Source organism: Homo sapiens, chromosome 5, assembly GCF_000001405.40.
Source record: "Homo sapiens chromosome 5, GRCh38.p14 Primary Assembly".
Taxonomy (NCBI): domain Eukaryota; kingdom Metazoa; phylum Chordata; class Mammalia; order Primates; family Hominidae; genus Homo; species Homo sapiens.
Window position 1 is genome coordinate 115,636,662 of NC_000005.10, and position 15,025 is coordinate 115,651,686.

General features: G+C 41.1%; 1 long non-coding RNA gene across 1 annotated transcript in view; it reads right to left on the reverse strand.

Moving 5' to 3' along the window:
• Positions 1-5,463: 5,463 nt before the first annotated feature.
• LOC102467217 (uncharacterized) overlaps positions 5,464-15,025 on the reverse strand; it is a 30,528-nt gene continuing 20,966 nt past the window's right edge. The window contains exons 4-5 of the long non-coding RNA NR_104674.1: positions 9,541-9,601; positions 5,464-5,635 (exon numbers count right to left, since the gene is read on the reverse strand). This is a non-coding gene — a long non-coding RNA (uncharacterized LOC102467217). The remainder of the gene's footprint in view (positions 5,636-9,540; positions 9,602-15,025) is intronic.

The following is a 15,025-nucleotide window of genomic DNA, read 5'->3' on the forward strand; positions in this document are numbered from 1 at the left end:
AGAATCACATTCTTTAGGGCACTGTTCTGGGGGATCCTCTTTATTCCCCTGAGTTCAGGGAGCCCATTTTTATTCAGCTTTTCCCTCAAGCCCTTCCAGCTAAGGACAGACAATAAACCATGTGTTAATGATTCAAGTGCGCTCCTCACCAATCTGATTATCATGGCAAGAGTGAAAGGAGAGCCTTCTGGGCTGCAGGATGGTGAAGGTGGATGGGAGGGATGCTTATCATATTCCATTCAACATGGATGTCCTCTGAAGTCTTCAAATTTCTTCCTCAACCTCATGCAAAGGAATTTGCTGCCTTGTAATATCACTTAATGAGCCATTCATTGCAGGCTTGTATTTGCTGGTTCAGCCAGCACACTTTTACAATCACAGTTGATTGCCTGAGTCAGCTCAATGAATGGCAACACCTGCATCAAAACATAAGCTATCTGAAAAATTCCCTCCTAAACAAAGAAACTTCAAAATCTATTTTCATTAATATTATCCAGATTTTTTTATGGCATGACACGAATTAGTAAATGCCTGCAATTCCTTGTGAATGGAACTCTTTATTTTTTTTTTTTTTCTACTCTGGTTCTGTACTTTATTTGTTTTGAATTCTGGTTACTAGCCAAGCTACATATAAGACTTAGGGCGTGATTCTTAGCTTTCTTCTGCAAGGGAGGTGAGCTACCATGGCAAAGGCAAGCAGTGGCGAGAATTTCAGAAGATTTTCAGGGCTCTGAGGGTGCCCCAGTGTTGCTCTTCTAATTGTCAGGATCCGAATTTTTCTTGATGATTGTCCTAATGTACCCATGAGATACAGTGAAGTTTTAAATTCAACCAACATTGTAATAAGGCAGCCCAATAAGTAATCTCTGCGTTTGGTTTTCAGGAACCTCAGGCTCTAGCAATCATTGGAAAGGTTCTGAGTATTGTGCTGTGCTTTTGGGGAAGAATTTTAAGATTTGAACATGCCTTTCTTTCATTTTATTAGCTACCGCCTTCAAGACCAATTCTCCTGCCCCCATACACCAGAGATTTGCAAGGGAATACAAACCCTCAGAGATGAGCCGTCTCATCACTACCTGCCATGGGTTGTCACCTTCACATCCTGGAATCTGCACATAAGTTTTACTGCCTTTTGTCTCATTGCAGCTTCTTCCACAAGCTTTTCCAGTTATTAAGGACAGCCAGTGGAGCACATTTTAGTGATTCCAGTGCTGCTCTCACATGAATCTAATTATCATGGCACGAGAAAAAGGAGAGGCTTCTGAACTCTGTTGTGATAGTAGTGAGAGGGTGAGTGGCAGGGATGCTTATTGTAGATCCAATCCAACATGACTGTCCTCTGAAAATCTGGGAATTTCTTTCTTAACCTGATGAAAATGAATAATTGAAGTTTAAAAAATATCATTTAATACAGTCAGTCCTTTTGAAACCACCATGTTTCCCAGAGGCACTATTGCCTCCCACTAACTCTTTGATACTAGTATTTGAATTAGTCAGAGTTCCTTGGCTGCAAGCAATAGAAAGCAGCTTTGGCTCACCTAAGCTGAACAGGGTATTTGCTGAAAGAATACTGAGTCAAAACACTACTCAACCTCAGGAAGGACCAGAATTGGGGAAGCCCCACTTGACTCTGCAGATGTCTAAGTGTTCCCATTGGATGACTCAGGTCCAACAGTCTTCAATTCCTATGTCCCCACCCAAGATTCAAATTCTCCAGAGGATATGATAAGCCTAGCTTGGAGCATCCACTATTGTGGCAGGGTAAAGGAGGGGAATGTCTCATGATTGGTACATTTCAGAATCAGAAGCCAAAGATGTCCTCTGAGTTAGGTCCCTGCAGTGACCAGGTGGCACATACATGTGAACATATACACACATCCACATGCATGCAAACAAAATAGTGGCCTTTTAACTTTCCACTTTAAATGCAAAGATTAGAATACTCATCATGTACTTTCTGTTACATGGTCGATCAGAAGTAATTTTGGGAAAATATTTTACAAAGACAAAGGATTGAAATGTATTTTTACCTTATACTTCAGGTTGTTGGTAATCTAATTTACTATTACCTCCTACCACCCCTTGGGCAATGGTACAAAGAGGGCAGCCAATCTCTGACTTGCCCAGCTGCTAGAAGTTTAGCCCATAACCACTATATCTCCACCCACCTTGCCTGCTGGAATGTTACGTGCTGAGACTGACCAATGAGCTTAGCACAGTGGCATATTGAGAATCATCCTTCCAGTTCTGCAAAAGGTAGCCCTGACTTAAACAAAGGAACTGACGGCAAGACAAGCCTGGCTAAGGGATTCTGTGAGGCTATGATCTGCTCAGCCCAGATACAGGGGTTCCTGAATTTCCTTGCTTTGTTCAGCTCCTGTGTTTGTAAGGCTAGACCTGCAATGATTGTTCAGTAGATTTAGAAAAAGAAGGGGCTGCTGATTCTACCACATCCCCTATCTAGCCCTTGAGACTACCCTGACAGTCTGAAAAGGCCTCTAAAACTGGGCCCCACCTGTATTTGATGCAGCTGGTAGTCCTGTAGTTACAAGGGGCTTCTTAGTGGACATAAATCTGTAATAATTTAACTAGTGGAAGATCAGGATTGTTAGTTTTGCTTTTAGCAAATCTTTAATTTTACTTTTTATTTTTCAGATCTTGTTGCAAATCTTTAGAGAGAAAAAGTGAATTCCCAGTATCTGAATGGGTGAGAGCAAATCATGCTAAGATTGGGACCTAATTTTAACCAGCGGGAGTTAGGCAAGAAAACTTCTGAGTAGAGACTGCTCTAGATAACATAAATGAATGAATGGAGTCCCCCTGTTTCACTCTGCTAATCCTGATACTTTCCCTCAGGGGCCTTGAGCACAATCACAACTCATTAATTATTTATCAGCTTATTGGTCTTATGCCAGTCTAATATGTTCTAGCTGGCAAGCCCATGGGAGTTGGGACTTTTCTACATTTACTCACCATTGGATCACCAGCACCCACCTACTGCCTGGCACACAGAGGGCACTCAGTGAATATTTCTTGATTGATTATGTAGCAGGGTTATACATTGAACTCACACTGGATTTAAAGGTGCAGAATTGCTGCATTTTCTCAAACTGTTCTGCTCTGGCCTTCCTCATGAACCCCCCCATCCTCTTGGGTAATACCTTATCTAGGGTACGAAGATACCTTAGATGTGACAATTGAAAGATGTTGCTGGGCACGGTGGCTCAAGCCTGCAATTTCAGCACTTTAGGAGGCTGAGGAGGGTGGATCGCTTGAGGCCGGGAGTTCAAGACCAGCCTGGCCAACACTGTTAAACCCTATCTCTACTAAAAATACAAAAATTAGCCAGGTGTGCCTGTAGTCTCAGCTACTCAGGAGGCTGAGGCACGAGAATCACCTGAACCTGAGAGGTGGAGGCTGCAGTGAGCCAAGATCACGCCACTACTACACTACAGCCAGGGTGACAGAGTGAGAGTTGGCCTAAAAAAAAAAAGAAAGATGTTTCAGTTTCTTTTAGTTTAAATAGTATAAGTAGACAGAGCTGGTTTACATAGTGTGTGTGTGTCTGTGTGTGTGTGTGTGTGTGTGTGTGTGCGCATGTATGCCATCCTCTTTAGGAAAATGCTTAGTCTTCCTGAGCACTTTGTCCCTTTCCTGTGACCTTGTCTAAAATTATATCTGGGGGTAGGACCAGGTGCTTTGGCAGAAGGATGAAACCATTGAATCCAGGAAGTGTCCTCCGGAGTGTCCTCTGGTGTCCTCAGTGGTGTCTCTTGAGTTCTGGCCACATCCTGCCCTGCAGGCATGAGTGGCTGATGCCTGGGGCTGGTGGAGCTCAGTTTGTGATCCACTGGCCCAGTTCTTCTAGTTGGGTCAGGGCCTGGCAGTGCCTCTGCTGCAGCCTCACCTGGGCTCTTGCCAGTGCTATGGACCCTCTGAGTCTCTGCCACATGCCTCATCCAAACCTCGATCTAAGCAATCTACTGCACAGCCTCTGAAGCAGGATGGCTTCTTTCCTCACCATGCCAACACCCACTAAGGCTGCCTGCTCTCAACACAGCCTTCTTCACAGGGTCCCCTGTGTTGTATAGGAATCTCTGGGTCCTGACACCTGGGAACTAATAGAGAATTGGTAAAGTTAATCCCAGCCCTCCCTCTGTCTAATGAGGCTACTCCCTGTTGGTATGGGGCAAATGGAGAGATAATTGCCTCTTTCGTGTTCCAAACATCAGTTGGATGAGCATCTGCCCCTTAATTCATCTACCACACTTCCAGGTAAAGCCTGTAGAGGAGAACTGGGGCTCCCTGCCTTTTTCATTCTCTTCTCATAATTCCCCAGGCCTAGAGCTTTGGGCTGTCTACTCTTATGTCATATTTTCCTCCAACTTGACTGCAGCCTCATAGCTAAAATAAAATGGCAGACAGCACGCTGTAGAGAAAAAAGTGCCCAAGCTACAGATGAGGAATTTTAAATTGGGAAAGACTAGAAAATTATATATTTTGTAAGTAGATGGCTCCCTTCAGGCTTTCACTAATATTACAGTTTAAACTTTATTTTGCTATAAGATGTAAAATAGATGCTATGAGAGCATCTAATGTGGAAGTGAGTTATTGACCTAGTCAGGGCAGTCAGAGAAGGCTTCCAGGAGGAAGCGAAAAGCAAGCTAAGGACTATAGATTGTGCTAAAAGAATAGGGAAGTGTTTTCCCTGTGGAAGAAACAGCATGCCTAGGTGTCTTGTGGTCAGAAGGTGGCCCTTTACTATTCATTTTACCTTCAGTGATGGTTGATTGTCAATTTAACATATGAGAAGGATATAATCTGACCATAGGCTGAGCTAGGGCGAATGAGGACAAATGGCAATGAAGACATTTTCTAATTACAATCTCCCATATAGTTCCAGTCTAATGGAGAACTATTTGTTAAATTAGTAGAGCTTGGTATCATTTTGTTAAATGATTCTCTGATAATATTAACTTTTCTGCAAACTAGAAAGTAGGAAATTATTTTCTTTTTTTGAAAACAATGATTTCAAGGAGGCAATATTGCTTAAAGCAAAGAAATATTTTTAAATTCATAATAGGAATATAAAGCTGACCTTAAAAATTTTTTTATAGTGCTAAAATTTTATTTTCCTCTTTAGAGACATTGACTCAGTTTGATCTTTACAGAATATGTATGAAACACAATATAATAATCATTTAGATTAAAGAGGCTTATGATTAAAAACAGATGGATAAAATGTTTTATTATTGGGCATTTTGATATTTATGCTGACTAAATATTACTCTTGAACTTGTCTCCAAAGGTCCTGACAAAATGATGACAGCCCATCCCTTGTGAAAATTCAGCCCATCAGACAGTGTGAGAACATGAGCTCAGAATTTCATCTGATAATTTCCCATCTTTAATTCATTTTAGAATATGATACGCATAAGTGGAAAAAAAACAAAACCCAATGACTAGTGATTCATCCTTTTGTTGCCTTTAGCTTTATTCTCACAATAGCTTTTTGGAATTCTGTGACTTGTGTGGTATAGAATCTGACCCCATCAAGAAAGGCACAGAAAGATTATATAACATGTTACTCACCATCAGAATATCAATATGATTAGATAACTGCACACTGATGTTTCTGAAGAGATAAAAGAAAATTTGGTATGTTGGCAATCCTCAGATGACAATCATTTGTTATCTGCCCAATATATAAATTTCTCAACATACAGCTGATTAAGTAAGAGAAAGAAAAATATCCACCAGTAATTCGACATATGTTATATTCAATATTGAGTGTGGATACTTTGCATTTTATGTATTTGCATAATTCCAGTGGAGAATAAGGTAAACTTTTATTTTTGAGGTTATAATATTTGTGATGAAAATGAACCTGTCCCTTATTCCTCACTCACCGCTTACATGTGATGAAGTAGTTAATCTTCAAAGTGGGTGAATTGAGCCTTTTTCTTTTTCTTTTTTTTTTTTTTTTGAGACAGTCTCGCTCTGTCACCCAGGCTGGAGTGCAGTGTCAGGATCTCGGCTCACTACAAGCTCTGCCTCCCGGGTTCACGCCATTCTCCTTCCTCAGCCTCCCAAGTAGTTGGGACTACAGGCGCCTGCCACCAAGCCCAGCTAATTTTTTGTATTTTCAGTAGAGATGGGGTTTCACCGTGTTAGCCAGGATGGTCTCGATCTCCTAACCTCGTGACTCACCCGCCTCAGCCTCCCAAAGTGCTGGGATTACAGGCATGAGCCACCGTGCCCAGCCGAATTGAGCTTTTTTCAGGCTAAACCATAAGTTTATGGCAAAGACAGTTTCTCAATTATGATCTACTATACATGTATATGTATGTATATGTATAGGTACATATATGTATATGTATAGGTACATATAAATGTATATATATATATTTGGTTTGAAAATTCACTTCAGAAATTTGACGTGGGGAAAAAAGGAAACAAGACAAGATAATGTGTTAAAGGTGAAAATGATAAAATGCTAGGGTGCAGAGAATAATCTCACATGAGCTTTCTTAATACTTGGGAATAAAACATAACAACATGTTGTTCTTATATAACTCTGGTCTAGCTAATGGTATGTTATCTGTATATGGCACTACATAATACTGTGTTTTCCCTAAGCCCATGCATGACACTTTACACTAATTTATAAAAAGAAAGCATGTTCCCATAGACCAATGCAAGAATACACACTGCAGTAGGTAGACAAGCTAAGGGGGCAGAAGTCCAACAATGTAGCTCTTTTTGAGGAACTTTGGTCACAAGATGAGGTCCTGCCACAGTATATGACCAGAGCTGCAAACAGTCGAGAAAACTGAGAATCTTGGGGGAAGGTGGTATGCAGAGTTAAGCTTGGGTATGGGTGGCAAACCATAGGATGTGTGTGAGGGGCAACCATGAAGTGATATGTGAGATTTAACTCATGTGCCAAAAGTAAGTGTGATCCTCTCTGCCCTCAATGTTGTAGCCTAAGAAACCAATGTGCCAGGGCACAAAAGATTCTCTTGACCTCCTCCTTTGTTATTACTCAGCATATTCTTTTGAATATACTGGGGTGGAAAATTTTTTAGATTTAGGGGGACAGATGATTTTTAAGGAATTGCCAAATGCCATTGGATGGGGAGTAATTTATCTTTTTTTATTGTATTGCTATGTTTTTTCTTTCTAGAGAAAGAAGGGGAAAGAGAAAGGAGATTATTATAAAATAATGAGGCATTTTCTTGCATATCTTTGGAAAATTTATTTTAAAATATTATGTACCTCATATATGTGTGCTCCTAAGTACAAAGCACGTCTACTCAAAAATTTATAATTACATAACATTACCAAATTGTTCTTAAAACAAGAAAGGTAGCTAATTTCTATCTGGACTACAGGTCTTGTGTGATTGGTTCATATGGAATATGTTCATAGTGCCCATGTCAAGTCTGGGGATGGATAAAAATAGGAAAACAAAATACATGGACAAAGCATAAATCTTGGTGTCAGTATGCATAATAAATGAAAGCCTTAATTGCATCAAAAAATAAATATAGATGTAAGGAGCTGGCACAAACTCAGCACTCAATATGTGCAATCTGTCAGAGGATAGAGCTGCCACAAAAGCTACCATTATGAGCATTTACTATGTACCAGATCTGCCAAATTGCTTTACACATATATCTTGCTTCTTTCTCAGGACGGTCCTATTACAGGGAAATTACTATTTTCCACTTCTAATATAGGGAGGTTTAGAGAGGTTAGATAAGTCAATTAAGGTCACACGGCTAACAGTAGCAAAGCCAGATTTTGAAACCATGTCTGTCCAACACCAGATTCTGCACTCTTAATCCCTTAACTCTCTTTTGTATGTTTTCTGCAAAAGTAAAAAAGGAATTGAAATGAATGTACTCTGCTCACATCGAAACTATTACACCAAAAGTCTGTTCCTTGGCTGAAAAACACACACACACACACACACACACACACACACACACACACACGGCATGGCCCTTACTGACTTATACACCAGCTTACTCAGCTGAATGAGTACTTCCCTATTGTCTTTTATCTTTTGTCTTCCTTTACCTCCCTTCTTGACTGTCATCCTTCCCATCTGACTTTGCCTTAACTCCACTATTCCCATCTCTTTCACCTGAATCCCACCTTTACTTTTCTCCTTTCACAAAGGCAAAGACTTTGATGCTGGGGGTAAAAAGAAGAGAACCCGCAACCCCTAGCTGCCTCATCCTCCCCACCCATAGGCCATTCAGCTGTGTCTGAGGCATCTTCTCGTTTCCCCAACAGCCTGCTTGCCAAATCCCCAAGCCCTTCTCCAGCTCACAGGCAAAGATGCCTAGAGTAATCTCAGTTTAGTTTTCCTCTACATTGTAGTTTATCCTGGTTTATGTCCTCCAAGACATAGCTCCACTATCTGTTTTCCTTTCCTAACGAGGTTAGGAGGAGGGAACATGAGAAATGAGGTGCAGGAAGAAAACTTTTCTACATTTAGATGGTTTCTAGAGTGTGTCACACTTCCAAATTGAAATGAGGCTTGTTAAAAGAGTACTCAGTAAGTGGGGCTGTTCACCTAACATTGCCTCCTCTGGGTATCAGAGTCATGACTGCATCAGTCAGGTGAGGTCCACAACTTGTCTATATTCCACAGTGCCCTAGGAGTTGGGGCAGGCGGAGGGTTCTTTAACTTCACATTTCATTAAAACACTGTATTAGTCTGTTTTCACACTGCTATAAAGATACTACCCAAGACTGGGTAATTTATAAACAAAGGAGGTTTAATTGACTCACAGTTCCACAGGCTTAACAAGAAGCATGGCTAGGAGGCCTCAGGTGAAACTTACAATCATGGCAGAAGGCGAATGGGAAGCAGGCACCTTCTTCACAAGGCGCAAGAGGGCGTGTGTGTAGGAGGAACTGTCAAACACTTATAAAACCATCAGATCTTGTGAGTACTCACTATCACAAGAACAGCATAAGGAAACCACCTCCATGATCCAGTCACCTCCCACCAGATCCCACCCTCAACACGTGGGGATTATGGGGATTACAGTTTGAGACGAGATTTGGGTGGGGACACAGAGCCACACCATATATCAAACACCAATAGCATTTTTAAGTAATGATTACATCAACACTATAAAATAAGAACTGATTTAGCTATGCTTATGTATAAACAATAAACAAATGCTATATAATGTTCCTGATGTAAATGTCCAATTCTTTCATAACTTAAGAATAGCTTTATAACATTGTTGGCTAAGAATAGCTAAGAGAGTCGTCTAATAGTCTCTGTTCTGCTCAAGTAAACATCTCTTCTATAACACATTATCCGAATTCTGCTTATCTTTGATTTTTAATGATTCCCAGGCTGTTCCTGTACCATACTGAGATGTCACCTCTCTGTGTGAGGGCCCCTATTGCTAGCCAGTAAATGATCCCTATCTGCAACTACTTAAAGTTCAGATTTTAAACAACAAAAGTCATTGTCATAGAATTGCCAATGTGTGTTTTCAATATACTCACCAAGATGCCTGGCACTAAGTACTTGTTGCTCCAAGAATAGCGTCAGGCAAGTAATAGGGGCCTAGTAAAATGAGGTTAAGGAGAAAAAAAAAGCAATTTCTTAGAAGGATGGGGATGATGTGGGTAGCTTATAGTTCCTAAAGGCAAGAAACTCAACTAGCCTCCCCAAGTTACTCTGTCCACAGTCACAGGATCTCTTGTTTCCAATTTTCTCTGGGCAAAGGCTTCATTCTCTCTCTTCCAGGCTGGCTCTCTCTGCTTATCCCAGCACACAGGAGGATATAGCCACTGCACCAGCCCTAGTTGTTCTTCCCTTCCAATTCGTACATTCAATAAAGACTTAGAGTTTGTGTGTGCCTAATCCACATTTGCAGGAAAATGAACAGATTGATCAGCAGAAATTGGGTTTCCATCGGGTCCAACACACCAAGGGAGGGGGCCAACATGGGAGCCCACGAGAGAAGGAGGTGAGGAAGGGTTCTCAAAGGAGAAGGGTAGAATGAGGAGAACAATGGGATAAATGGCTTCACTTATTTCTGATCGCTCTGTTCTGCATGCTTTTACACTCTTGGGCAGGACAAATAATTTTTTTAAACCAGAGCCCAAGAGGCAAACTGATCAACCACTGGGCTTAATAATGGATGTTAGGACATGTCCCATATATTACCATTAAACGTGCTCCTGATAATACCTTTTCAAGGATATAGCTGTTTAACGATGGTATCCTCTTGGTTCAGACACATAGAAGCTAAGAGGGGAGAACCAAACCTCTTTGTTCATGAGCCAAGAATGAAAGGAACAGCAATTAAAAGAAGTTAGTTGTATCTTATTCCCCCATTCTAGGTTGTTATCTCTTATCAGGACTTAAATTCTATCCAAGGGAAGCTCTCTTCCTGACATAGTGGAGGCCAGAAGTCAGTCAACTAATTTTTTTAGAGTCAGTTAAATGTGAAATTATAAAAAATACATATATACCTTAAACATTTAATTTAAATTTTTTTTTTTTTTGAGACACAGTCTCGCTCTGTCACCCAGGCTGGAGTGCAGTGGCATGATCTCGGCTCACTGAAAGCTCCGCCTCCCAGGTTGACGCCATTCTCCTGCCTCAGCCTCCTGAGTTGCTGGGACTACAGGCACCCCCACCATGCCCAGCTAATTTCTTTTTGTATGTTTAGTAGAGACGGGGGTTTCACCATGTTAGCCAGGATGGTCTTGATCTCCTGACCTCATGATCCACCTGCCTCAGCCTCCCAAAGTGCTGGGATTACAGGTGTGAGCCACTGCACCTGGCCTAAACATTTTATTTTAACTTAAAACATGTAAAGGCATATTCATTTGCAAATCTTTTGATGCAGCCCTGAGGCCTTTTCTTTGAATATGGAATCATTGTTTGGTATTTTGTTCCACATTGCTTCTCTAAACCACATTTATTTTTTCTGATCTCCAGATATGGTTTATTTAAAGTGGAATGAAGATTTAAAGACTCATAAAAGAGTACAAAACAGTAGATGTTCACTAATTTTTCTCTTTCAAGAACATTTTTTAGTGACTTATCTTCATTGACTTTCTAAAATATTCAATATGGTTGTCATAGAAACAATCATTCCTTTTCTTTTGCCCTCATATTTCACTGGTAAACATAATCATTAATTAAAATCTGTAAATAGAGTGACAAGTACAATTGTCATGAACAGGTGTGAGAACTAGCCCCACAGTCTCTCAGTAAGGATGCAGCTCAGCTTAGGGGAGGGGAGTTTGCAGCGTGCACAGGAGCAGTGTCTTCTCAAACTTGAGTGTGCCTCAGAATCACCTGGAAGGTTTGTGAAAACACAGGTTGCAGTGTTTTAGCAATTCCAGGAGGTCTGGGTTAAGTAAATCCAGGAGGCCTGAGAATTTGAATTTCTATTAACTTATTGGGGCTGCCAATGCTTCTGGTCTGGGGGCCATACTCTGAGAACTACTGTTCTAGTGAGTGACCCAGTAGCTATGAGCATTCAGCAGGTCATGGCAACAGTTTGAATGCTTTTCAGAGTGACTGGAGAGTGCCACGCAATCCTGCAGGCTGATTACATAAAGTTTGTTAGGAGAGTTTGCCCTGTGATTCTTCTCTGTTATTCTCTCATATTGCTTATCCAGGTGACCCGTGTTTAGCTGCTGAGGTTCAGTCACCCTGGGCTCTGGTTCCATCTGCAATGGATGACCATGTAAATGACCATGTGCTCTCGGCTAGCTATTTAATTTTAATGAACCCCAGTTTACTTATCTGTAGAAAACGGGATGATAACTTTTTTAAGGGACAAAGGACCTTGTTACTCATTGCACAGCAGGCAACATGAGCATCAACTTGTTTGTGTTGATTTCCCTTGCCACCAAGTCCCATAGGGTGACACAATATGGGCTATATGGATGCTAGGCACACAGTGGGTTTGTGTTGTAGCTAAGGAACACTGAGCTTTGGGAATCCATTGCTTTATAGCAAGCACTAAATAAGCCTACTCTTGGTGTGGAGGAAGATTGTATCTTATCTCTCAAATTTACCAGCACATAAAATAACCTTGAGAAATTGCCCCATAACAGAGCAATCAGTCTTACAGTCTTGCCACACCCAGAAGAAGAGTGCCAGGGGCCCAAGGAGGACTGGCTGTTCCCGCACTGTGCACTTATGCAAAGTGCAGAATTGCTGTATCCAAGCATATTCCCATTTTACAACTTGACATCCATTGCCAAATTGCCCTTCAAAAAACTTTTACCAAGTTACATTCCCAGCAAGGACCCATTTTCTTATGTTCTTACTACACTGAGTATTATCCTCCTTTTGATCTTTGCAATTTTATAGGTCAAAGACAAATTCTTGTTTCACTTGTGTCTCTGTGATCAATAGTGAGATTGGACACCTTTTTACACTCATTAGTCATTTGTATTTTTTCTGTTGTGAATGTAATGTGCTGATTTTCTCAGAACTGGTTGGCTTGGCTCTTCTCCTTGGACCCATGAAGAATGCAGCCTGGACCTGGTCTTATGTGCTGAGTATCTATTATGAGCAAGGCTCTGGTCTCTGTCCTTGAGCTTCTCCACAGTAGTTGGGAAAATGAACCACACTCAAGTACAGGGGAACTTACGATGCCAGCCTCTGAATCCTAAGGGACGAATGTATAACACAATCATTTATTCAGTCAGCCATCACAGAGCCCCTTCTAGTATCAGGCATTTCTCCAGGTCCCAGAGATATAAGAACCAGACATATTTCTGCTCCTGAGGCACTCACTGTCTGGTAAAGAACAGGCAAGTAGAATACAGTGTGAGGAGGAGCTATGATAATAGGAGTGTACATGGGGTGCTATGGCAGCAAATCAGGAAGTGATAATTTTTATGTTTTCTAATTTATATAACTTTGTGAGTAATGAGAATACAAAAGATAATATACAGCTCAAAAAACTATAAGATGTTATTAGGGATGGCATGATACTATGAGAGGATTGTAGTATTTGGAATCAGACATACAAGAGTTGGTATCTCATTTCAGCCACTTTCTAACTATGTGATCTTGAGGAAGTTTCTTAATAATATCTTCTTCATAGAATCACAATGAGTCACAAAAATAATACAAAGTCCTATCTATTTGTGGGGCCTGGAGATCTACATATCATATTTATAAATAGTTAAAAGTTTAAATCAAGTTAGTGATAGATCGAATGCAATTTCTATCAAAATTTCAGTTGCCTTCTTTGCATAAATTGACAAGCGGATCCTAAAATTCATATGGATATGTAAAGAACTTCAAATAGCCAAAATAATCTTGAGAAAGAAAAACAATTGGAGGATTCACACTTATCACAAAACTCACTACACAACTACAGTAATCAAGACATAAAAATCAAGACATTAAAAATAGACATACAAACCAATAGAATGGAATTGAGAGGCCAAAAATAAAACATTACGTTTACAGCCAATTGTGCTAAGACAATTCAGTGGGGGAAAGAGTAGGCTTTTCAATAAATGGTGCTGGTACAACTAGATGAAGCTGAGACCCCTTCCTCACACAAACATAAATGAACTAAAAATGAACTATAGATCTAAATGTAAGAGCTTACACTATAAAACCTTCATGAGAAAGCAAAGGTGTACATTTTCATGACTTTTGATTAAGGAATCTTTTTTTTTTTTTTTTTTTTTTTTTGGAGAAGGAGTTTCACTCTTGTTGCCCAGGACTAGAGTGCAGTGATGTGATCTTGGCTTACTGCAACCTCTGCCTTCCTGTTTCAAGTGATTCTCCTGCCTCAGCCTCTGGAGTAGCTGAGACTACAGGCGCCTGCCACCATGCCTGGCTAATTTATGTATTTTTAATAGAGATAGGATTTCACCATGTTGGCCAGGCTGGTCTCGAACTCCTGACCTCGTGATCCACCCATCTCCGCCTCCCAAAGTGCTGGGATTACAGGCATGAGCCACCACGCCCAGCCTAAAAAATGGTCTTTTAAATATGAACAAAAAGCAGAAAGCAACCAAAGAAAATATAAATAAATTAAACTTCAAAGTTAGAAGTTCTTGTGCTTCAAAGGACACTACAACAAAAATATAAGGTCAACCCACTGAATGTGAGAAAACATTTGCAAATTGTCAGGCCTCTGAGCCCAAGCAAAGCCAGCATATGCCCTGTGACCTGCACGTATACATCCAGATGACCTGAAGCAACTGAAGATCCACAAAAGAAGAGAAAATAGCCTTAACTGATGACATTCCACCATTGTGATTTGTTCCTGCCCCATCCTAACTGACATGATATAGTCTCCCCTGCCCTTAAGAAGGTGCTTTGTAATATTCTCCCCAGCCCTTAAGAATGTACTTTGTATGCCTATCCCAAACCTATAAGAACTAATGATAATCCTACTACCCTTTGCTGACTTCTTTTTTGGACTCAGCCCGCCGGCACCCAGGTGAAATAAACAGCCTTATTGCTCACACAAAGCCTGCTTGGTGCTCTCTTCACACAGACGCGTGTGACATTTGGTGCCAAAGACCCGGGACAGGTGGACTCCTTTGGGAGATCAGTCCCCTGTCCTTGCCCTCACTCCATGAGGAGACCCACCTACAACCTCGGGTCCTCAGACCAACCAGCCCAAGGAACATCTCACCATTTCAAATCAGGTAAGCGGTCTTTTCACTGTTCTCCAGTCTCTCTTGCTACCCTTCAATCTCCCTGTCCTTCCAATTCCAGCTCTTTTTCCTCTCTAGTAGAGACAAAAGAGATACATTTTATCCATGGACCCAAAACTCCAGCGTCGGTCACGGACTCGGGAAGACAGTCTTCCCTTGGTGTTTAATCACTGTGGCGATGCCTGCCTGAATATTCACCCACACTCCATTGATGTCTGATTACCGTGGGGACGCCTGCCTTGGTCATTCACCCACATTACCTCAGTGGCAGGTCAATTGCGGGGACACCTGCTTTGGCTGCTCATCCACATTGCAGCCCAGGGCTGCT